At 40.9% G+C, this 26,026-nt stretch overlaps 1 pseudogene across 1 annotated transcript in view; it reads left to right on the forward strand.

Moving 5' to 3' along the window:
* The window catches only part of ATP8B5P (ATPase phospholipid transporting 8B5, pseudogene), a 76,275-nt pseudogene that overhangs the window by 48,509 nt on the left and 1,740 nt on the right, over positions 1-26,026 (forward strand). Inside the window, exons 12-16 of the transcript NR_003581.2 lie at positions 13,881-14,061; positions 15,757-15,841; positions 18,465-18,508; positions 22,979-23,062; positions 24,653-25,027. The product of NR_003581.2 is annotated as an ATPase phospholipid transporting 8B5, pseudogene, transcript variant 1 (transcript). The remainder of the gene's footprint in view (positions 1-13,880; positions 14,062-15,756; positions 15,842-18,464; positions 18,509-22,978; positions 23,063-24,652; positions 25,028-26,026) is intronic.

A 26,026-nucleotide genomic window follows, 5' to 3' on the forward strand; every position in this document is an offset into this window, starting at 1 on the left:
AGACTACCTCAGGCATTTAATAATCAAACTCCCAAAGGTCAAGGATAAACAAAGGATTCTAAAAGCAGCAAGAGAAAAGAAACAGATAACATACAATGGAGCTCCAGTACTTCAGGCAGCTGACTTTTGAGTGGAAACATTACAGGTCAGGAGTGTTATATATAAAGTTTTGGTACCACAAAGAAATAGCACTCAAATATAAAATTTTCTTTTTAATTCTCAGCAAGGCAAGTTACTTCTATATAGAAGGGTGCGCCCTTACAGATGGAACAATGGTGAGCGCACACTTGGACAAGGGAGGGGAAGGGGTTCTTATCCCTGGCTCACGTGGCCCCTGCTGCTGTGTTGTTCCCCTATTGGCTAGGGTTAGACCGCACAGGCTAAACTAATTCCAATTGGCTAAAGAGAATGATGGGGTGAGTGCTTTGGTGGGAGTCACGGCAGAGAAGGTAGCAGGTAGCAGGTAATTGGAATGAGTTAGGGTGGAGCAGGTGATTGGAATGTAGGGTGGAGCAGGTGATCAGAATGAGTCAGGGTGGAGTATATAATCGAAAAAGGTTGCTTAAAGAGGAAGTTTAAAAGTAGAAGAATTGAACATATGGACATATTAATTCTTTGAAAAGAAATTTAAAACTCATTTCTAATAATCCCTTCCCTTGTATTTCCTTACAGCTTTCTTTTCAAACTTTTTTTTTAACATGTCTTGGCTTAGTTGTTTTGCTTGATTTTCTAAAAGAAGCAGCTTCTCTGGATAAGGTGGAAGATAGTTAAGGGAGGTTTTAGTAAGTGCCATTTTTATGAGCCTCTGCATCTACTTAAGGATGCATGGTATGACACAGCACCTGACAAGAATAAATACACCTATTACAGCTGTGAGAGAAGTAAGACTTGAGGCTATCATTCCATCTACCGAACTTTTTTTTAGCCATCCTGTAAAGGGGTCATTTACCCCTGAGTTGCTGGCTAACTCATTGGATAGAGCAGTCAGACCTTGCAATGCTTTTGTTATACTTTTATTACGGGTGGTGGTGTTTGGGATGAAGGTGTAACGCTGAGTTTTAATCATGACGCAAACTCCTCTTCTTTCTGCTAATATCATGTCTAAGGCTATCCTATTTTCCCAAGCCACCTGGCTATTAGCCCCTAATTGCTCAGCTATTCCTTTAACAGCATCTCTAATGTAGTTAATAAATCGCTGTTGATTGTAATAGATGTAGTTTATCCAATCTACATTTTATTAATTGTCACCCACCAAAATATTGACTCAAATCCTGCAGCTATTTGATTTTGGGCTTTAAATTGATCTGGTATTCCCCGTGGGACTTTAATTGTGTCTAAATAGACGTGAGAGTTGAAAGACCTATAATGGGCTTCTCTCGCTTTACAATGTCTAATTTTTCTGGTTGATGAAATGCCAGGGTGAAAGGGATAGCCAACTGGACTAAAGCACAAGTGCCACTCCAGTTATTTGGCAGAGTGTCCAGTAAAGGTCCACCACACATCCACTTGGGGATGAACAAGGGCTGACTGATTGATAAGCTCTTGAAAATTCTTAAGCTCACTGCTTCCCTTCAGGTCTCCAAGGAACACTAAGTTTCCTCCCTGTCATGAGAGACACGAAGGGAACTTAGTGTTAGGAGATGGAAACTGGATGGCCCTTGGGGGCTGACCCGCAGGGTGCCAGAGTTCGGGATATAGCAGAGTGAGAGCTTGGCATGACTTGTTACCCCAGGCTGTAGAATCTTGGAAAAGAGCTACCATGCAGCCCATGCCTGGTTGACTGGAGGACCACCCTAGTGGAAAGGGGACAGTCTGGGCCTCTGGCCTGCCGTGCACACAAGCCTAACAATTGTTTTTGTTTAACGTGCGGACAGAATAGTTGATCCATTTCAACCAGGCATTTACATCCTTAGTATCCTGTCTCAATTGCCAAAGTTTGTTTTAAGTCTTTAACTTCTACCATCACTATCTTGGCCTTGTCACTAGATGGAGGAGGATCAATGGTTCCATTGTGAGAGGTTTTGGAAAAAGGCTTAGAGGCAGATGTAGGCGGCAGGGGATCAAGGAAATGCATTTTAAAGAATCCAATAGGGTCTGTCCCTGAAACCTCAGCCCCCATACCATAAAACTGGCTTAAACAAGGGAACCGGCTTAGAAAAGGGGAGAACTTTGGGGGCTTGAAATAATAGCCTGTATAGGGTTGCACTGGTTTAGCTGACAGTTAGGGGGGCTGTCCCTTTAGTAAAATGAATGTATCGTTTTAGGAAATTATAAAAACTGGTTGGGGCAGTCTATCCTTGCTCTTTAGTGGTCCACAGAACGTTGGACCAACTACGGCATAAAAGCTCTACATCGGGGGGCAAGACTCATGGTTGACACTGGGGTCTTTATCAAAATCTCCCTGGATTAAATGGTCCCAATTTACTAATGCCCATTCTGAGGAGAGTCAGGAGGGACAGAGGTACTTTTCTGAAGTAGAGAGCTGTCTTTGACTTGGCAAGTCCCCACAAGGTATAACAAGGCAAGCATTAAATGCAGTAGTTTGAGGTGAAATTGACTTGGTTATGTTAATAACTGGATGGTCAGCAATAGAGCGAGGAAAGAAGAAAAAGTAATGGAATAGATGAAAGAGTTAAATTTTTCTTAGCTTTAGTTTGGTAGGGTTTTCCCCTGGGATTGTGGCCCAGGACTCTGGAGGGAGTGGCGCTTTGACTCGTGTGTGATGAGTCCATCCCTTTTTCACTGTATGAACAGCAGTCTCGGTGGTTAGCAGCACAAGGTAGGGTCCTTCCCATGCTGGCTCGAGTTTTCCTTCTTTCCACTTTTTGATGAGAACGTGATCTTCAGGCTGGTGCTGGTTTACTGGAAATTCTAGGGGTGGTACCTGTGCTAAAAGACTTTTAGTTTTGAGGGAAGATAAACCAAGTATATAATTTCTAAGAAATTGACCTTTTGTTTTAAACGTGGGGACATCAGCAGTGGACTTTATAGTCTTTGGTGCCTTCTTACTGAGAAATTTCCTTTAGCACCTATTTTTATTAGTTTTTAGACCAAAGAATGCCAAACACCATTTTATATTTAACAATGCTTCCTGTATGATTTTTATACCAGATAAGCTAAATTTCACCTTTATATTAGTGTGTTATTAATGTTAAACTTAATTTTAATAAAACCTTGTAGACATATTTATCCAGTTTTTAATGTCTGACCATAAGGTAAGATTTTATAGACTCTTTTTAACCTTTTTTATAATTTTTGTTAAGGAGCAGGTTAGTGCTTTAGAAAAACCTGTTGTGCTTTTATTTTAATGTCTAGTTCACAGAAAAACTGGTTACCTCTTTAACTTTAGCTAATATGTTTACATACAGAATTTCCTTTACAATTAACGTTTTAAAACTTGCTTAGACCTTTAAAACAAAATATATATATTTTTCACCTTTTAATGTAGGTAAAAATTCACATTCTTATGCCTCCTTATAATCTTGTTACCAAAAGTATATTTTACTTTCCTTACACACCTTGCACATAAACTGTTTCTTCAATAGTTTTACATTTAGGAGGTCTAATTACTTTTAAATTATACAACATTTCTTGCATAAATTTCCTTTTATAACCTTTTTTTCACACAACTTTCACAGATAATTCTTCGACATGCCTCAACTTTCTTTCTTTTTTTTTTTTTTTTTTGAGATGGAATCTCGCTCCGTCGCCCAGGCTGGAGTGCAGTGGCGCGATCTCTGCTCACTGCAAGCTCCACCTCCCGGGTTCACGCCATTCTCCTGCCTCAGCCTCCCAAGTAGCTGGGACTACAGGTGCCCGCCACCACGCCCGGCTAATTTTTTGTATTTTTAGTAGAGACGGGGTTTCACCGTGTTAGCCAGGGTGGTCTCGATCTCCTGACTTTGTGATCCGCCCGCCTCAGCCTCCCAAAGTGCTGGGATTACAGGCGTGAGCCACCGCACCCGGCTCAACTTTGTGACTTGTTGCAAACATCCCTTTTTTTTAAAAAACAATTAGTTAATTTATTTTAGGACAAGAATTTACCGTATAGCATTCTTTTTACATAAACTCTCCCCCCACCTCTTTTTTTCTTTTTCCTTTTTAAATTTTCCTAAAGATGATAACCATTCTTTTCTAAAGCGAACTTGCTTCATGTCTGTGGACTAGACTGCCTAAGGCCATAAGATTAGAAGTTAGGATAATACGTGTTATATTGATAACTTTTAGCAAACTTTACTTTTGTCGAAAACCTTCTAAGTTTGGGATTTCAATTATCCTTTGCTGTTAATAAGACCTTGTTTAGTCTAAATTAACTTAGAATTGGTATAGATGGTTCCTTCCTGGTCTGTGAGTACGTCAAGGCTTGGCTGAGTGCAAACAGCTTGCAGGTTTGAGCAGACCAGTTATTAGGAAATTTTCCTAACTCTGCTTCTACAAGAGTTTCCCTATCAATTACTGAATACCCACTGTCGTTTGTTTTTTTTTTTTTCCCCTCAATCAACCGGGAGGAACCATCTATCGTCCTGTCCTGAAGAGGGTTCCTCCTAGGTCTGGTCGGACCTTTGTATGGTAATTAAGATTTAAATCCCCAGTTAGGAAACCTGCTGGGTTAAGGGAATTTTCAGTGGTTAATGATAAATCATCTTTTTCTAACAGAATAGCCCTATACTTTAAGATTTTTTAGTAAGCTACCTTTTTGCTTTTTGACTTAGGATAGTTCTGAACTGGTGAGGTGTGCTCACAATGAGGTTTCCTCTAAAAGTTATTTTTCTACTTTCTTCTGTTAGTAAAGCAGTTGCCGCTATAGATTGAGTGCATTTGGGCCATCTGCTGGTTACTGGGTTAAGGATTTTTGATAGGAAGGCTACAGATTGTCAGTGGCCTCAGTGCTTTCGGGCTACACCCTTGTTTACACTGACAAAGAGGTGGTATTGGAGTGTTATAGGGTCACAGAGAAGACCTTCAATTATCAACTATAGGTTTTAAATTTACCCTGGCTTTTAAAGGAATAGGGTACACTGTTTTTTTCTTTACTACTTCTATTTTTCTCTTTCTTTCTCTTTGACTTTCTCTCTTTCTCTCTTTGACTCCCTCTTTGTCTCTCTGCCTCTTTCCCCTCTCTCTCTGCCTCTCTTTCCCCTCTCTCTCTCTGCCTCTTCCCCCCCCCACACACCTCTCTTTCCCCTCTCTCTCTCCCTCTTTCCCCTCTCTGTCTCTCTCTGCCTCTTCCCCCCCACACACCTCTCTTTCCCCTCTCTCTCTGCCTCTTTCCCCTCTCTGTCTCTCTCTGCCTCTATCCCCTCTCTGTCTCTCTCTGCCTCTCTTCCCCCCCACCGCGTCTTTCCCTCTCTCTCTGTCTCTGCCTCTCTTTCCCTCTCTCCTCTCTGTCTCTATCTCGCTCTCCTCTCTGTCTGTCTCTCTCTGTCTCTCTCTCTCTTCCCCTAGGGTAGGGACCTACGGGAGTGGAACTACTCTCTCTTCCCCCAAGAAGAAAGGAAAGGGCAGCGGGGGGGTTGTGTCAGGTTCAACCCTTGAAATTAGCAGAAGGCTCAACCCCTCAACACCAGGGATGTCTCACCTTGCCCGTCCTGGAAGGCTCAACCCCTCAAGCCAGGGGGTGTCTTGCCTGTCCTGGAAGGCTCAACCCCTCAAACCAGGGGGCATCTTGCCTTGTTTGCCCTGGAAGGCTCAACCCCTCAAACTAGGGGGTGTCTTGCCTGTCCTGGAAGGCTCAACCCCTCAAACCAGGGGTGTCTTGCCTGTCCTGGAAGGTTGATCTGTTTCTCCCCTTTTCCCCCTCTGAAGGTCCTTTGCACACTTCCTACTCATGCTGCCCTCTCTGGCTGCTCCCCCAAGGTAGAATCAGGCCCTTCTTAGTGTTGGCATGCCAGTATAAATCCTATGGCAGGATCCGCCCTAAGCCATATGAGGTAGCTGTGGAACTGCAGAGAGGACCCACTCACTCCGTCGAGCAGTAGGACTTGTCACCATCCACATGAATAACACCACAAGCAGGGTTGTTGGTGATCATTCACACACACACACATTTAGCCCTCCAGAATTTGACCACCAAGGAAGTACTTTACGGGCTCCCATGGCATCTCCTTCCTTGGTCTGTGCAGAGTCATCACTGCAGTATGTGAGGATCATTTAAGCTAGGTTGCTGGCCAGTACCCCCTCTCCCTGACCCCTCGTGTTGTTAAGAGCTCAGGTTATTCCTCACACTGGGTGGGTCTTGATTTCTCACCCCTGAGGCCGCCACAATAGGGCCGGGTGCACCTCCTCACGAGAGAGAACCAGAGACAGTCCTGGAGGGGAATGTAATCCTGGACGAGCCCCCCAAATTGTTATATATAAAGTTTTGGTGCCACAAAAGAAATAGCATTCAAATATAAAATTTTCTTTTTAATTCTCAGCAAGGCAAGTTACTTCTATATAGAAGGGTGTGCCCTTACAGATGGAACAATGGTGAATGCACACTTGGACAAGGGAGGGGAAGGGGTTCTTATCCCTGGTGTACGTGGTCCCTGCTGCTGTGTCATTCCCCTATTGGCTAGGGTTAGACCACACAGGTTAAACTAATTCCGATTGGCTAATTTAAAGAGAATGATGGGGTGAGTGCTTTGGCAGGAGTCAGGGCAGAAGAGCAGGTAGCAGGTAATTGGAATGATTTCGGGTGGAGCAGGTGATCAGAATGAGTCAGGGTGGAGTAGGTAATCGAAAAAGGTTGCTTTATGAGGAAGTTAAGTTTAAAAGTAGAAGGCAAATAACTGAATATACTGACATATTAATTCTCTGAAAAGAAATTTAGAACTCATATCTAACAGGAGAGAGTGGCATGACATATTTAAAATGCTGAAGGGGAAAAAACTTTACCTAGACTAGTATATCTAGTAAAAATATCTTTCAAACATGAAGGAAAAAGAAAGATTTTTCCAGACAAACAAAAGTTGAGCAGTTTCATTAACATCACACTTGTCCTACAAAAAAATGCTGAAGAGAGTCCTTAAACTAGAAAGAAAAGGACGTTGAGCAATAAGAAATCAGCCACCATACCTGGCTTCATTGTAGTTTTGATTTGCATTTCTCTGATGATCAGTGATGTTGAGCACCTTGTCATATACCTGTTTGCCATCTGTATGTCTTCTTTTGAGAAGTATCTATTCAGATCTTTTGTCCGTTGTTAAATTGGACTATTAGGTTTTTTCCTGTAGAGTTATTTGAGCTCATTATAATCCCAGCACACAGGCAACCAAAGCAAAAATTGACAAAATGGGATCACATTAAGTTTAAAATCTTCTGCACAGCAAAAGAAACAATTAGCAAAGTGAAGAGACAACCCACAGAATGGGAGAAAATATCTGCAAACTGTCCATCTGACAAAGGATTAATAACCAGTCCCAAACAAAAGAACTGCTTTTGAAAGAAATTTAACAACCTACCTGCAGAGAACTAAGGCTTGTAAATCTGAGTGTCAGCACTTAGAGTAAAACCCACTTAATTTTAAATTTGGGGGGCTTGAGTTTGCCTGCAAGTTTCTTGTACATCCTAGGGTGAAATTTGTTAAAAAACGTATTCTTTCTACCAACAGAGAACTCATGGTTTCCCATTCAAGGGAGTGGCCTGTTAGGAAAACAAAATTAACCAAAAGAAATGAAATCTACTCCAGCAACCTATAATAATCAAACTATTATTTTACTTATATTTTTAAGTGGACTAGAGGGAAACAAGTAGCATAAAAAGGTGGATGAGGATGAACAAATAGAATAACTGACCCTGGAAGCTGGGTGTGGTTCCCAGCTACTTAGGAGGCTAAGGCAAGAGGATCACTTGAGCCCATGAGTTCAAGGCTATAGTGCACCATTACTGCACCTGAGAACAGCCACTGCACTCTACCCTGGGCAACTTAGCAATATCCCATCTTAAAAAAAAATACCTGAACCTAGAATAAACAAATTATATTTCAGGGAAGAGAAAAGAAAAGAACTTTAAAACATTTTTATGACTAGTCTCAGAGAAAAGAAACAATTACATATATAAAATAAGAATAGGTTGCTTTAAAAGGGGGAAAGAAGAAAAATATCTAAGAACAACAACAAAATAGAATTTGGGAAATCAAAAATGGGATTGCTAATATTTTTTTAAAACCCATTAAAGGATTAAAATCTCTCCTGGACCATAAAACAAAAAGACACAGAGACAGAAAATATTAGAGAAATAATTTGTTTTTAAACAGAGGATCAAACTAGAAAGGTTTAGTTACAGAGAAGAGAAATCCCTTTAAAATTCTTATAGAGATAAAAATAAGATATTAACAAAAATGGGAAGCAGATTGGTATCGGATTTCTCAAAAGCACCATTGGGTCCTAGAAACCAGTAGGGTCATACCTTCAAAGTTCTTAGTGAAAAATATTTTGACCTAGAAATCTGTACCCAGGAAAACTGCAAGTCAAGTAAGAGAGCAAACTTGTTCCTACCCTAGGACCTTTACCCTTGCTGGCAATGTCTGCCCCCAAGTCTTTGCATGGCTTGCTTCTTTTTCATCATTTAATGCTACCTTTTCAGATAAAAGGTCTCTAACACCCCCATCAAGACCCTCTATTCTATTAACCTGTTTTATTTTCCTCACAGCATTTATCACTAAATGGTATTTTTTTCATTTCTTGTTTGTTGTCTACCTCTCTCCACAAGGATGTTGTCTTTTTTCACCACTGTGTCCCTAAGTCCCTGGAACGATCCTTGACATATAATGGGAGCTTCATTATTATTTGTTGAGTGAGTGAAAAAAATGAATGAACGTCTTAGCCAACAGATTATGAGCCTCTACAGTAGAAATTACACCATATTCATCTTCATATTTTTGGAAGTGCCTTGCACAAAGTAGTGCTTAGTAAATCTCTATTGAATTATTAAATGAAGAAATGTTCTTGAATTAGCTAGGTTCTTATCAGCTCAGCAGTTTTGTTTCTGTGGTATTTGTGCCAGGACATTGTCAATTAGTCATATGTAAAACACTTCCATTTCTTGAAGTAAACTGAACCAGAAATCCTTCCTGATTTAAACACTTCATTTTCCCCCATTTTTTGGAAATGCCTCTTAGAAGAAAATCTGGCAGACACAGGAAGCACGTTTAGCAAAGCTCCTTCCTGATGAGCCCACCGCTGAGCTGGGGGTTAGATCCCTTCTCTCTCCCCAGTGACCAGAACTCCCAGTGACAATGCCTTCTAAATCATGATCTGTTAACTAGGAGTGTATTTGTGAGACAAATGAGCAAAGTGCATGAAATTGAAATGGTGCCAGAGATCCAGGATCTCCTTCTGGGGTAAGGCACAATGTAAAACACAGATGTGAAGGGCCAAAAGCCCAAGGAGTGCTTTCTTTTGACAGGCTGCCTGAGGCCAGGGAGCACCTTTATGAGACCAGTGGCCTTGATTTTGGTCAGTTTTGTCAAGAGTGACAAAATTATTTATTTCACTCTTTATTGAAGCCACTTTTTGCTAAATGGGAGGCTGTCTGTGCTTCTTTGGTCTGACTAGCTCTGGTATTAAGTAATCTCTAGGGTCTGTAGCAATAACCAAACAAACTGATGATTTATTGTTTCTTTCTCCTTATGGAAAGGAAGTAAAGTGAAGCTTTAAAGACTAAGTACCAAAAAACCCTATCACAATAAAAAGAAATGTAGAACATCTGCAAGGGCTTTGAAGGCCTCATGATGGCAGGAAAAGCTCTAGCAATGAAGAAAGAAAACACTGTGCCCTACACCTTCAGGATTCAGGCTGTCAGGGTAGCCCTGCTTTCTGGGGCTTGGGCTGATAAGAAGTGGTCTTCCTTTCTGGTGGCTTAGTTTGAGCAGTAGAACTCAAACTCAGATCAATAATTCACTGAGGCTTTATCTGAACCATGAGAATAGCTTTGTTTTCACATGATTAATTGAAGAGAAAGATAAGAAGTGGGAATAAGATTGAGAAGGAAAGATTGCATGGCCCCAGAGAAACCCTCATCACAAAGAGCTGAGCTACTCAGTGTGAATCTGGACTGGGCTAGGAATAAAAGCAGATTTTATGTGTTTTATCCCAATTCTCCTTTGTTTTGTTGTTCCCCGGCCCCTCACTCAACTCTCAAATACCAGTTTTTGATACTGAATGATATTAAGCGTTTAGTGCTAATTTTTAAGTGATACTGGTTTTGATTGTGTTTTAAAATAAGATCTTAACCATTTAGAACTATATATTAAACAGATGAAATTGCATAATGTGACAGATTTATTCTGAGAAGGCAGGGGAAGAGGAGGTTTGGATGAAATTAGACTGGCTATGAATTGACAATTGTTGAAGCTGGGTGATGGGTACACGGGTGCATGGGGGTTTGTTGTCCTATTTATATACTTTAATTGGTGTTTTAAATTTTCCATAATAAAAAATAATTTAAAATATCAGTTTCTGGGAATGGTCCCAGTTAGACCTGTTCCTCCTACTTTTCTAGTCTTGTCTTCAAAGACCTTCCCATCAGTAGCACAAAGATGAAACCTCCCATTATCTAGCAATGGGGATGGTTTGCTTTGAGCCAGCCATACTTTGTGACCAAGGTCACAGATGTGAAGACTCTTGGGTAGATGTAAAGACTGTTGGGTAGACTTCGAGGTGGTTCAATAACATCATGTTGTCTCTAGAGGCAGGTGGACATATAGTGCTGGTAGGAATGTAAAATGGCATAATAACTTTGGAAAACATTTGGCAGTTTCTTAAAAAGTTAAAGATAAATTTTTTATAGGATCCAGTGATTGTACTCCTAGATATGTACAAAGGAAATGAAAGCTTATGTCCATGCAAAGACTTGTACACAGATGTTCCATACAGCCTTGTTTACAATAGTCAAAAACTGGAAACAACCCAAATGTTCAATAAAAGAAAAATTAGTACACAAATTGTGCAATATCAATACAATAGAACACTACTCAGTATTAAAAAAATGAACAATTGATAGATGCAAAAACATGGATGAATCCCAAAGTCATTATGCTAAGTAGAAGAAGCCAGAAAAAAAGAGTACATACTATATGATTCCATTTGTATAAAATCTAAAAATTTCAAATATTCTAAAGTGTCAGAAAGCAGATTAGTGGTTGCCTGAGGACCAGGGGAAGGGAGAAGTGGGAAGGTGGGGAGGAGGAATTCAAAGGGGCACGAGAAACCTAGGAATAATGAATATTTCACTAACTTGAGTATGGTGATGGTTTCACAGATATGTGTGTGTATGCGTGTGTGTGTATGTCTAGTATATAGTTGTATACTTTAAATATGTGTGATTTTAGGGGGATAGTGACTGAAAGGGGACATAGGGTGGTTTATGGGTGCTGAGAATATTCAATTTATTTGTTCTGGGTATTTGTTCCATTAGTGTGATTACTTTGGGAAAATTCATCAACATATATCTGTGATTTCTGCATATGTCTTTATGTGTGTTAATAATTAAATGTTAAATAATCAAAAATAGAGGGCATCAGATTAATCTGGAACTATGAGTAGTATAGTTGTATTAGTCAAAATAAGATAACCAAAATAAAAAAACAGCCTTAAAATCTCAGTGACATGTGACAATACAATGAAGGTTGTTGTGGGGAGGGGCAGCTTGCTCCACCAATAACTCAGGAACACTCTTTCTAGCTAATGGCCCCACCAACCTCTTGGATTTCAGGATCTTCTACTGGATTCCCTGCATTCAACCAGCAGATGGGGAAAAAGAGAGAATAGGAAGACTCACACATGATTTTTTTTCTTTTCTTTTTTTTTTTTTTTGAGACGGAGTCTCGCTCTGTTGCCCAGGCTGGAGTGCAGTGGAGCGATCTTGAATCACTGCAACTTCTGCCTCCTGGGTTCAAGCGATTCTCCTGCCTCAGCCTTGAGGACTGAGTAGCTGGGACTACTGGTGTGTGCCACCACACCCCGCTAATTTTTGTATTTTTAGTAGAGATGGGGTTTCACCGTGTTGGCCAGGATGGTCTCAATCTCTTGACCTCATGATCTGCCCACCTCGGCCTCCCAAAGTGTTGGGATTACAGGCGTGAGCTGCTGCACCCGGCCACACATAATAGATTTTTAGGGCCAAGCGTGTAAGTAGCATAATCACTTCCACCAGCATTGCATTGGCTAGAACAGAGTTACATGACCCATATAACTGCAAGAGAGCTTGGGAAATGTGCTCTAGATATGTGCTCAGAAGGAAAAGAAAATAGAATTTAATGAATACATATCATTATCGCTGCCACAATCTACCCTTCTGATCATCATACCATTTCACTTTTCCTCCCACATATGGAACACCCTCATCATCTCCCCCAAATCCTACCCAGTCTCTGCATCCAACTCAGAGTCCAAGATCTCTCACTGATGCACAGTCCTCTCCATCAGATCTAAATGAAGTTCCTCTTGGTCTGGAGATGTGAGAGGATCTCCTTTATTCATTGCTCTCAGTGATTTCTGGCTCCACTCCTGAGAAGTTTTCCCTCATTCTTTATCCTTGCTGACCAACCCTGAAGTGGATGTTGGGGAGTATGCTCTTCTTAGGGACTGCAGTTTTTATAACCTGCTTCCTGCCCAGTGTGGTTTTAAGGATTTCCAAACAGTCACAGGCTTTTTTAGACCAGGCTCATAGTTATCTAGTAATACCATTCCTTCAAAACCCATAAGGCTTCTCATCTGTTTGCTTCCAATTAGTTTCATGTATCAGTAACCCCCTGCCCCCCAAAATTCTTTCCTAGACGTAGTTTTTGAGTTTATCCTGTTTCTTTGCTTCCTTGCCCCTCCATGCCCTTCTCTCTCAACTTACTGGCAAGAAAGTTGAGGCTATGCGGAATAATAGTCATGGGTAAGAAGGTATCACCTTTAACCTGAACTTTGCCCGAAGGCTGAGTCACTTTATTCAGTTGAAAACAATTATTGGGCCTTTTTTGCTTAAGGTCTCAATCTTATCTCTTCCTGTTTAGTGTCTAGAAGTCGTAGTTCTTTGATGCCCCAAATTTCTGTACCTCCTTATTTCTGCCTACAAATTGGCTAATTCTTTCCCTAGTTTAACTTTAAAAAAAATTTTTTAGTACAGATGAGGTCTCAGTATGTTGCCCAGGCTGGTCTCAAATTCCTGGCCCCAAGCAATCCTCCTGTCTGGTCTTTCCAAAATCCTGGGATGGCAGGCATGAGTGACTGCACCCAACCAACTCTTTCTTTTAATACCTGTCAAAGGCAGTCAATACACAATGATATTTTGATTCTTTTTAACCACTTCTCTTAGAGCTGCAGGTTCAGTAGGCATATGGTCTACCTTTCAGTTTTATCAAATTCTTTCATGTTAACATGACTACCATATTTTCAGCCTTTTATATCAGTTTCCTTATCACCCACCCCCTAACTGCTAAGCCCCACACGTTTTAGACTTCTGTTAAAGCAGCTTCAATAATGGAATGATTACGTGCTTGGGTTCTGGAACTGGTTCAAAACCTGTTTCTTCTACTCAGTAGCTAAGTGACTTTAGACAAAATTCTTTCTCACTCTTAAGTTCCTCATCTATTATTAAAAGAGGATTATTGTAAATATTAAATAATATGTATAAATACTTAGCATAGTACCTAGCACTTGGTTAGTTATTACTATGTTTTATTACTATTATCTCCCTTGAAAATCCCAAGGAGGGCTTCTGCTGGACTTTCTTTTCTGTCCTATGTACTGCTGCCTAGAGACTGTGAACTATAGGGCCTCCCTGCCCTCCTAGGAGAGGGACGCTTTGCTGAGAGATAAGGCTCTAGACTGTAGAACTGAAGCAGCACATATGTTGGATAAAATGTTAATTTAATTCTTTTTTTTTTCATGTATCGATTTTCCTGGTTTTAGGCATCGTGTGTTTTGTCCTAGCAGTTGGGCATGGCATTTGGCAGAACAAGAAATGCTACCACTTCCAGATTTTTCTGCCATGGGTAAAATATGTCTCTTCATCAGCTGTCTCTGCCATCCTCATATTCTGGTCCTACTTCATTATTCTCAATACCATGGTGCCCATTTCCCTCTATGTCAGGTAGGCTTCTTTGATCACTTTGGGGTGTGGGGGAGGAGCTGACTTCATACTGTCTACTTAATTCCCCAACCAGAGTGTGAACTTTTAAAAAGCATACACTTGTGCTCTTTAACCCCTCACTCTCCACAGTAGGTGGTGTACAAAATGCTCTGAGATATATCTAGAGGTTGCATAAATGCCTTCCATGTCCAGAATACTGTGCTAGGAAGACACTATGTGGTTTATACAAAAAGACAGTTATCCCTGCCCTCAAATAACTTATAAAGTAAGTGGCTAAATAAGACATAAAAACACATGAAATAACTAGAAAACATACACACAAATTTGGTGATGCTTAAAGCATGGGTAGTTTCCCCAGGAAGATAGGCCAGGCAGCCCATAGTTTACCAATGAGATAGGTCCAAACATTCACTTGTAAGTCAATTAATCAGAATTCAGAATCCATTTTCCCACACAAACAGTGTGACAGATGGTAGATAGGTGTAATTGTGACCTAAGTTCAACTCCTAAAAGTTGTGGAAGAGAAGAGGAAGGGTTTCCCTTCCTCTTTTTCATAAGCACCTTGAATGAAAATTTGAAATAGCTGAAAAAAGTATTTACCCTACTCTGATCATCCTTTTCTGGGTTCTGCATTTCCTTACACATACACACACCCAAACACATTTTAGTTTCCTCCTTTCCAGGCTTTCTAAACCCTGTACCGGGGCTTTTTGGCAATAAAAAAAAAAGGACCCTATGTAACTAGATTACCTTATTTAGTAATATTTATTGAGTATCTACTATGTGCTAAGGTTTAGAGAGATTGCTATGGTGGCTGATATGGTAAAGGATGGGAGGGGTCCCAACTCCAGGCATAGAGATTATCAGTAATGAGTCAATGATGAGGACCTGAGCACCTCCTTCCTCACCTCAAAGGAAAAAATCCCCATCTGTCAGTGCAGCTGTCTCAGACAGGGATTACTAATAATCACTCTTATAATAAAGCAGACTAACACACATTAAGTATGAATGATGATAAGAAGGAGACCCCTTAAAAGTCTTCACTGTTTTAAAATGAACATGCTTGTTAGCCATAAAGAATCTATAATGGACGCTATTTGGAGCAGAAGAGGAGTATGACAGAGGCAATAGGGAAAACTTATATAAAATGAGAAGAGGTTGTTGTGGGAGGAGACACACCACAGGCAGGCTGGCTCTGCCTGGAAATTTATCAGAGGGTCAGCCCATAAACTATTCCTGATTTTCATAGCTTCTTTCCTTCTTCTGAAATAAACTCTGAGTGTGTCAAGGTTCTCTGTCTTCCCCATGTGACAGGAGCAATAATCCTCCAATTGGGCCAACACAGCCTTTTATAAGTTAACTGTTACTCTATCACACCTTGCATTACTGCAGAAATTCCAAAATTGTAACTTTTCCTGGATACATTATGGAAAAAAAAAAAAAGAATAAAAGCCAGGTATGACTCAAAAAAGTTAATCAAGTATATCTGGGTCCAGGTGGTAAAGCCTTGGGTGATAATGGCCAAAGTCAGCATTACAATGGGTTGGCTGGTGGGAAGGGTCCTTCAGAAGGGTAGAATCCCAAGGAAGACACTCTGATTTTCAGATGCTTAGCCCTGCTAAGAAAGAAACCAGGATGATATATTTGCTTGTCCTGTTCTGACGCAGAACCATTCTTTTTCTGCTTTCTCCTTAGTGTTGAAATAATAAGATTGGGCAACAGTTTATATATCAACTGGGATCGGAAGATGTTTTATGCACCAAGGAACACACCAGCACAGGCTCGTACTACCACCCTTACTGAGGAGCTCGGCCAAGTCAAATATGTGTTCTCTGACAAAACAGGGACTCTGACTCAGAACATTATGATTTTCAACAAATGTTCTATTAATGGGAAGCTCTATGATATGCATGTCTTCCTGCTTTCCCCAAGTCCTGGGAAATTTTTACTTTGCAAATTGTTTTCAAGACTAATCTAGCTCTAAATCTGTAAGCCTCTGGAATTCACATTTATCTCCTATTCTCACAACTGTCTCTATTCTCTAAGCAAAGACCACCCAGCCCAAACAGTTCTAACCAAAAAGCATTTATTTAGCATCTTATAGGTACAATCTATTGTGTTGGGCATTGAGAATACCGAGATGTGCAAGACTTAGTCTCTGTCCTCAAGGAGTCCCCAATGTCTATGTACTCAGTTCACTCCCACTTTAAATCAGATGGATGTTGGTCAAAGGGTACAAAGTTTCAGTTAGGCAGGAGGAATAAGTCTTCAAGATCCATTGCACAGCATGTTGATCCTAGTTAATAATAATGTATTGCATATTTCAAAATTACTAAAAGAGTTTTAAATGTTCTCACTACAAAAAAATAAGTATGCAAGGTGATAAATATGTTAGTTAGCTTGATATAATCATTCCATGGTGTATACATATATGAAAACATCACATTGTATCCATAAATATATACAATTAGTATTTGTCAATTAATAATAAAATTAAAAATAAATTAAATGGAGCAGTCAATGTATTACTGAAGCTGCTAATTTCTTGATTCCCCTTTACAGCAATAAATATTATTGAGAGAAACCATCAAAGGGTAGTCAGAGTTTGATCAGTGTCTCCCAGGCCCAATCCCTTATTTATCTTATGCCTTAAGCATAAGCTTGTTTTTGTGATAGAGTTAAGTCCTCATGTGTGTGAACAGTCATACCCAGTGTCCTAGCTAACAGAGGAAGGTAATCACATCTAAAAAACTAGAACACATGGAATAATCTTTCTGGGGTGACGAAAAAGTTTAGAAACTTGAGAGAGGTGGTAGTTGCACATTGTAAATGCACTAAATGCCTCTAAATTGTACACATTAAAATGGATAATTATATGTTAACTAAGTAAATTTCATATCAATAAGTAATTGAAATTTTTTAATTAAAAAAAGCTAGGCCGGGTGCGTTGGCTCACGCCTGTAATTTCAATACTTTGGGAGTCTGAGGCAGGCGGATCACCTGAGGTCAGAAGCTCGAGACGAGCCTGGCCAACATGGTGAAACCCCATCTCAACAAAAAATACAAAAATATTAGCCAGGCATGGTGGCACATGCCTGTAATCCCAGCTACTTGGGAGGCTGAGGTGGGAGAATTTCTTAAACCCGGGAGGTGGAAGTTGCAGTGAGCCAAGATCATGCCACTGCACTCCAGCCTGGGTGACAAGAGTGAAACTCCTGTCTAAAAAAAAAAAAAAAAAAGACTAGAGCACTCTAATATTTCCTATTATTTCCTATATTTCCTATTATTTGTTTGGTAACCATGTCAAACAAATTTTCACTTATATAAACTCTGAAGGCTTATTTTTGGATGAGCTGATTTGGGTGAGCCTCTTAATTCTCTGACCTGACCATATACTGGGTAAAGTTGAAAAGGACCATGAGTGTTTCCATGCTTGGCATCAGACATGTCTTCTACCCCTATTCAGTCTGTCATCCACTGGTCAAGAATCCCAAACATTCTAAAACTGTGTCCACATCTCTTCTGGGTAACTCTTATGATTGGAGGGCTTCCTGAGGTGTGAAGTCTATCACAGATCCAGTGACTAACTTCTAGCTTCATCTTATTCTCACTTAGGGGAGAAGAGTTGAGGCCCAAGCAAACCTCTTCTTACCATTGGCTTAGGGAAAGGAGCTTACTGGGAACTGGGAGCTAGGTGGCCTGAGGAGACTGGGGGGCAGGCATCTTGACTGCAAGTCTAGGATGAAGGAATCAGAATAAATAAGCTTTTAAGGCCCCTCCTTTAAATCACCATATGACCCAGCAATTTGATTCCTAGGTATATACCCCCAAAACTTGAAAACAAGAACTCGGATACATGTATACCAACGTTCATTGTGACATTATTCGCATAAGTCCAGAGATAGAAATAACCCACATGTCCATCCACAGATGAATGGATAAAGAAACTGTGGTATAGCATATACATACAATGGAATGTGAATCATCCATAAAAAGTAATGAAATTTGATACATGCTACAACATGGATGAACCTTGAAAGCATTATGCTAAGTGATGTAAGCTAAACACAAAAAGACAAAAATTTTATGATTCTACTTATGTGAACTATCTAGAATAGGCAAATTCATAGAGACAAAAAATAGACTAGAGGTTACTAGGGGCTGGTGATGGGAAAAAATGGGAAGTTTCTGTTTGGGGTGCTGAAAAAATGTTGGAAATATATAGTGGTGATTGTTGCACAACATTGTGAATATAATTAATGTCATTGCATTTTACATTTAAAATAGTTAAAATGGCAAGTTTTATGTGATATATATGTATATTTTTTTAACAACAATTTAAAGAAATTCAAACCCTCCTTTAAAACCCTTGCCAAGTCTCTGCTGTGTTCACTTACCAACAGGTGATACTTATGACAAGGATGGACAGAGGGTGACGGTCTCTGAGGTGAGTGATTACAGCTCCATGGGAAATGCATGTGGGAGCTGAGTGAGGCTGTGCTTCAGAGAAGCATCCTTAATACAAATCGAGACTCCCTTAGCCACTGAAATATTAAAGCTTTTACTGGTCCTGTAATATCAGAAAGCATTATATAAATGACCTATGTTTAATTCTGAAGATCTTCGTTTGTTCTTTTTAAACAAAAATAGCTTTATTGGCTTTTTCTCTTTAAAAAATAATCCATGCTCACTGTAAAAAAAAAAATTAAATAATACAGAAATGTGTGAAGAAAGTTAAAATTATTCCATCCCATTTAGATAGCCAGTGTAAAGTTGGGGAGTATATCCTATGCTTTTCATATGTGTATACACACACACATATGTACATCTAGATCTAGAAGATGGGGGAGATAAAATCATAGTATGCATGCTATTTCCAGTTTCCTTTTGTTCACTTGACACTATTATTGTCGTCATCTTTCCATGTCGGTAGGTCTAGGTCTACATCATCATTTTGAATGGGTGTCCACTATTCAGTTGTATCACTGTACCTTAATTTATTTAATTTCTTATTTTTATTCCATTTTCCTTTGCGATTACAAATGACATTTTGGTAATCATTATGGAACATACATTTTGTCTACTTTTCTGATAATTATTTCTTTAGAATAAAGTCCTAGAAGTAAAATTCATTGGTCAAAAGGTAGCCACGTTTTAATACATTAAATAGTGCCACATTGCCCTCCAGGTAGATTCGCATAACTTTATAATCCCACCAAAAATATATGACATTTTGTTTTCCCCCATATGCTTGTCAGAACTGGTATTAACAATTTTTAATCTGTTGAAATTTAATTGATGAAAAATGGTATCTAATTATTTAATTTACCTTTTTTGATGACTAATTAGGTTGAATCATTTTTATGTGCTTATTTTTCTTCCCCTTATCATCTCTTTATTGCCCATTTACACTTACTTTGTGAACTGTCTATTCATATTCTTTGGCCTTTTTTTCTTATTTGAAAATGCTCTTTATACAGTAAAAATACTAGCTCTTCCTTTTTCTGGTGCATATGTTATAATTATTTTTCCCATTTTGTCTTTTGGTTTTTAATTTGTTAAATAATATTTTGTGTAGAAGTGTTTAATTCATGTAATCAAATCTATCAGTCATTTTCCTTTGTAACTTAAGGATTTGTGACATATTCAACAGGCTTTATAAAATTATAAAAATATCTTCCTATTCATTCTTCTTATCTCTAGTTGGTTTTTACTGTTTTCTCTAGTATTGGACCCAGCTTTTGTTTATGGATTTGTTTTTAAGTGTCCCTTCACAGGGGTTCTTCTGCTGCCTTCAGGGTATTCCTCACCTTATCTCTGTCTTGCTAGACCCAATTCCAAACTGAGCCACTTGACTTATGTACCAAACATCTGACTCCAGTTCTCAACTGTTGCCTTACCCCTGTCCATCCAAAGAGATTGGGAAGGGGAAGGAAATTCAGTGATTTGCCTTAAATCATCTTCCAGGGGCTTGGCTAATGACCTTGGCAATATAGGCAAAATTATAGCTTCTAGGGAGTAAATCCCTCCTGGAGTTTCTTTCCTCTCCTTCTGTCCACTACTGATTGACCGTAACACATTTTTCACTAAATCACTGGAATTTTTGTTCTCTTATAAACAAACTTACCTATAGCCTCAATCCCTTCATTAATTGAAACATGATTTTCCCTGAGAACATTCCTTTTTCTTCCATCTCTCTCATACTCTGCATACCATAAACTCTGGATACCATAAGCCCAAAGGTGTTGCCCTCATTATCCTGTGCCATGTTTAACCATTAGTTTTTCTCTCCTACACAATCTTTCTTCCTGTGATGCTTATGACTTCTGGCTATACTCATCTGTAACTCTTCTTGTTGTTGATATCTAGGAAGCTTCTGGCTTCTACACCCCATTCATTGAGGGCTTTGAAACTTCTCCCTCCCCTCCCAACCACTGCTATTGTTTTGGGTGGTATTGTCATCCTTATGGACGACCTATCACTGTAGACTCTTTCAGGTCTCTGAAAGAATCCTTCAGATGATCTCTTGGACAAAAAAAAAAAAAAATCTGTATCACCCATTTCCATGTTACCATGTAATTGTCCAGAGTTGTACTAATGTGGAATTATAAACTTTCTTTTCACAATCTTTGATCACAAACCTTATTCCTCCATATTCTCAGTACATGGCTCGTACTTGAGATTTTTAAAAGTATTCCTGCTTTTTTATCTCATGGAGATTTATAAACCCTTGGCTTTCTTTTTTCTCCAGTCTATCAATTCCTTATGACTTTACTTCCTTTCCTAGCTTGCCTGTCTGTACCCTGGGATCATAAGCATCCTCAGTACCTTACTAGTTCTCCTTTTCTTCTCTTTAATCACTGAACAAATCTCAACCTTGAATTAACCAAACCATCGACCCTGCTCTGTTTCTAATTTGAGAGTGTTAAGCACTATTTTGGAGATCATAAAACCATTACAAATTCAGAGACTCCACTGTCCTCTGTCCCAGTGCCACTTGGCAAATTTTTCACCATTTTGTAATTGGCTTCATATTTTATTCTCCGTATCAGCTTTTCTAAACAATCACCATTCTCAGACCTTCTACCACACTCTCCTGGCTCCCCAGTACGTAGCAAATGATACTGCCTTCTATTTTACTGAGAAAAATCCAAACTATCAGCTAAATATCCTCCTCTGTACATATATTTTAACCCGCCTTTACCTCCTTTCCTTCAGTCTCAAAAGAAGTATAACTTTTTCCTTCAGTACTAATCTATATATTGTAGTTTCCATCCCTTCCTACTTCTTCAGGAACCTCAGTCAATCCTGTATTCTCTCTTTCTTAATATCTGACTATCCCCTTATATGATTCTTTCCCCTCAGCTCGTCTTTTTTTTTTTTCCCCGCGGAGTCTGGCTGCATCCCCCAGGCTGGAGTGCGGCGGCACGATCTCAGCTCACTGCAGCCTCCGCCTCCTAGGCTCAGGTGATTGTCATGCCTCAGCCTCCTAAGTAGCTAGGATTACAGGCGTGGCCACCACACCTGGGTTAAACTTTCCCTTAAGCTGTTTTCACTGATGTTGAGACTTAGAATTTCCAAACATATGTAGTGGGAACAAATTCCTGGATCTTGGAGTTTTCTTAGCATCCAAAGTCATCTTTTTGGAACAGGCTAAGCCTCAAGGAGCCTCTGGGTCATGCCAGATAGGCCAGATATGGCGTTCACCTATAGCCATACTCGGAAATACAGCTTCCCTTTGCTTCTCCTTCCCCACTCAGACAGCCTGTACTCCTGACCCCAACACACACACAATTGTTACTTTGATGAATTCATTCCACATTTGAATGTGAAACCTCCCCCACCTTAGTGGGGAGAAGCAACACCTGGATTTTGATGCTCTAAGAGGAGTCCCTTTTCCTATGAGAAGTTTTTCAGAAGCATCTCAAGGATTCCCAAGAGAAACAACCTCAGAAACAATTATCTTGGGAGTCCTACTTTTGTTGCCATAGAGTCCAGGAATAACAGGCCAGTCAGCAAATAGTAGCAGATTTGTATTCTCCCAAGCCCTAGCAAAGCCAGTCGGCTTTGTGGGAGGCATATGTGTATGCATGTGTTGCTGCTGACCTCTTGTGGCTAATAAAGAAAAAGCCCTCTCTAGGTCCCAGGATGGAGCGTCCAGCCAGGGAAGGGTCATTGGGTCTATTCTGCTTGCCAATATTAGGCGGTATGCAGTGCTACAGAAGCCACTGAATGCCACTAAGCAAGTAAAGAGTCCAAAGACTGGGCAAAGTGGCTCACACCTGTAATTCCAACACTTTGGGAGGCCGAGGCAGGTGGATCAACTGAGGTCAGAAGTTCAAGACCAGCCTGTCCAACATGGCAAAACCCCGTCTCTACAAAAAATACAAAAATTAACTGGGTGTGGTGGTGGGTGCCTGTAGTCCCAGCTACTCTGGAGGCTGAGGCAGGAGAATTGCTTGAACCCAGGAGGCAGAGGTTACAGTGAGCTGAGATCACACCACTGCACTCCAGCCTGGGTGACAGAGCAAGACTCCATCTCAAAAAAAAAAAAAAAAAAAAGTACAAAGGTTTACCTGCCTAGGAATGCAGGGGTACAGCTAGCATTCCCTAGCAATCACTCTGTGTCCTTTCTGTGCGGGGCTGTATAGGTTATGGTGGGATTGGTCCAGATCCACCTTGAAAGCTTGGTGTGGCCTTACTCTATCCTAGGACCTAGGGTTCTAATAAAGTAGGATCAAGTAGAGACTGGGGTCAACATTCTCAGTCAGGTTTCTCCTGCTGTAGGTTAATGTGTGTGGGGGTGGGGCGGGGGGGCAGGGGTCGAGGGATGAAGGTGGCTATCTTGGACCTGGAAGGTGGAGCTGGGACTGTAGAGAAGAGAGGAGCCTACAAAATCTCCTTGGTATTCTTCCAGACAGTTTATGAGACCTGGTTTATCACATGCTACAGTCTGGTCTACACTTCCCTCCCTGTCCTGTGCATGAGTCTGTTTGATCAGGTAAGATCCAGCAGCAAGCCCCTGGTCAGCGTTGAAGCCCCTGGGCCCTTGAGGAATATCCCTAAGAATGAAGAATACAGCAAGAGCTGGGCTCTACAAAATCCAGTGTAAAGGGAATAATTTCCAGAGCGGGGAAAAGAGCTCATCACCTAGATAGGTATCATGAGATAAAGTAAAAAATCCTCCTCAACAGAGAATAATCCTCAGTTTTAGCCAAGTTTTCCTGTATCAATTTTATCTTTGTAGAGAGAAACATGGAAATTGTGCTGTACAGTAAATTGAGTATATATAAAAGTAATTAAAATATATATGGAAAAATAAGGAAAAATTAAATAACATAAGCAGAATATGAATGGAAAAAAATAAAGAAAAGAAAATAGAGTTATTGGGGTAGGACTGGGTAACGTATGGGACTTCAAAAAGGAGAGACTCCTTCAGCGATAATGAGGATGAGATAAGCCAAAGCAGGAGGGCCTGGGAGGGAGTCCTGAAGGCCAGGCATGGGAGTATGGGTGTGATAGTTTATATCATAAGGAGCCAGACTAAGGGATACCGTCTGTCCCTGTCAGAAATTGAGGGTCCTGGGACCCTACCTCTCCCTTGTCTTCTACCCCAACCTCTAGTCCTGGGCACATGGAGTAGAAAATGAGTCTCCAAAAAGGAATAAAGTAGCTGAAATAGGACATCATGGGATCATGGCTCTTGGTCTCCATGGGAAATAGCTCTAAAGGAAATTCTCCAGGAAGTAACTGCTAACCTCAGAACAACAAGAGGGGTGGGTTGTATTACTCAACAGTCCATCCAGCTTCAGTGGCCTAATTCTAGGGATCCATCTCTGAAGCCAGCCCCAAGCTTTGTATCCAAAGTTTCAGAGTTAGGAGATGAAGATGATCCAATGACATCCACTTTGAGTAATTTTTTCACCTTCAGTTCACCAGTAGCTATGGGAGTGGGAGAAACCTCACAGAACATGAATACCTCTAAAAGACTAACTGGTCCCCATTGATGTTGCTTTCTCCCATATTGACTTTTGGCATAAAGAATATTCAACTATGGCCGGGTACGGTGGCTCACACCTGTAACCCCAGCACTTTGGGAGGCCGAGGCAGGTGGATCATTTGAGGTCAGGAGTTTGAGACCAGCTTGGCCAACATGGCGAAACCCCATCTCTACTAAAAATATAAAAATTAGCCAGGTGTGGTGGCACACACCTGTAATCCCAGCTACTCAGGAGGCTGAGACAAGAGAATTGCTTGAACCTGAGAAGTAGAGGTTGCAATAAGCCGAGATGGTGCCACTGCACTCCAGACTGGGTGATAGAGCAAGACTCCATCTCAACTGAAAGAACTCTTACACCTGGGGACTTATGTCCCAGCTGCCTCCCCCATCTCAAGCTCCAGTCCTCCCTCCCAGCTACCCACAAGCCTAGTTGCTCCCTTTCATAACTCCCCAATTCTAACTCCCTCCAAGTCCTTCCCAGCATCCCGAACTTCTCCCAGCTTCCTTCCACTACCCAGATCCTTGCCTAGAGAGTAGGACTTCAGGAAGGGTCTGTGGTCACTGCTGTGTTCTCTGGTTCCACTTCTCCAGTAACCCATAAGGAAGCTCCTAGGCAGCCTGGCAGCAGACCTGGTGAGGGGAGAAGCCTCTACTCTGATGGAGATGGGACCTTCTATGGAGAGACCCTGAGCCTCCCTCCTTACCCTCGGGTGCTTCCAGGATGTGAATGAGACATGGAGCCTCCATTTCCCAGAGCTGTATGAGCCAGGCCAGCACAACCTCTATTTCAACAAGAAAGAATTTGTGAAGTGTTTAATGCATGGGATCTACAGTTCCTTCGTGTTGTTCTTTGTCCCCATGGGGGCTCTTTACAATGCAGAACGAAATGATGGGAAGGACATCTCCGACTACCAGTCCTTCTCCCTGGTGGTGCAGACCTCCTTGATCTGGGTGGTCGCAATGCAGGTGTGGCCAGTGGTGGTGGGGGTAAGGGGATTGGGTGGGGGCCTCTCTGAAAGAGTGGGAGGAATAGAGGGTGAGAGTGTGGGAAGGGAGCAACCTTCATTACATAATTGGAGGGGGGAGGTAGCTGACAGGTCCCAGGTTACAGGTCCCATAAGAGGGTACTTTTCAGATCGCCCTGAGGACAACCTACTGGACAATGATAAACCATGTTGTCATCTGGGGTAGCCTGGGTTTCTACTTTTGGGTGTCATTCCTCCTGTACAGCGATGGCTTGTGTCTAGTATTCCCTGACGTCTTCCAATTCCTAGGTAAGGCCCTGCCCAGTGGGCGGAGGGTGGGGAACCAGGTATATTTATTTAATAAATGTTTACCGAGAAGCCATTACTATGTGCTAGGCTAGAGATATAAATAAGACATGGTCTCTGCCCTAAAAGGGCTCAAAATGTAGCTAGGGAAATAAGTTACCTTATTTGAGTTTCCAAGGTATTTTCAAATGTCTTACGAGATTTGCTATTTATCAGCATCCTAAGAGGTAGGCAGTGCAACAATTTTTAGAGCCATTTTAGACACCGGAGGGTTTTTTTTTAATTAAAGGACTTAAATCTAGGTTTCCTGGTTCCAGTTCAATGTCCTTTATGCTGTGGCATATCGCCTTGTTGTCTCCCATAATTTTTCCCTCTCTCTCATCTCCACTTTGCTGAAGACAAAATATAGAGAGTAGATATGTAGATGTAGTTGGCTCCCATCTTTTTGTTTTTATTTTTAATTTTTTGAGACTCTGTTGCTCTACCTCTGTCGCCTTGGCTGGAGTGCAGTGGTGCAATCTTGGCTCACTGCAACCTCTGCCTCCTGGGTTTAAGCGATTCTCGTGCCTCAGCCTCCCCACTAGCTGGGACTACAGTTGTGCACCACCATGCACTGCTCATTTTTTTGTATTTTTGGTAGAGACGTGTTTTTGCCATGTTGGCCAGGGTGGCCTCAAACTCCCGGCCTCAAGCA

This window comes from Homo sapiens, chromosome 9 (genome assembly GCF_000001405.40).
Source record: "Homo sapiens chromosome 9, GRCh38.p14 Primary Assembly".
Lineage (NCBI taxonomy): Eukaryota > Metazoa > Chordata > Mammalia > Primates > Hominidae > Homo > Homo sapiens.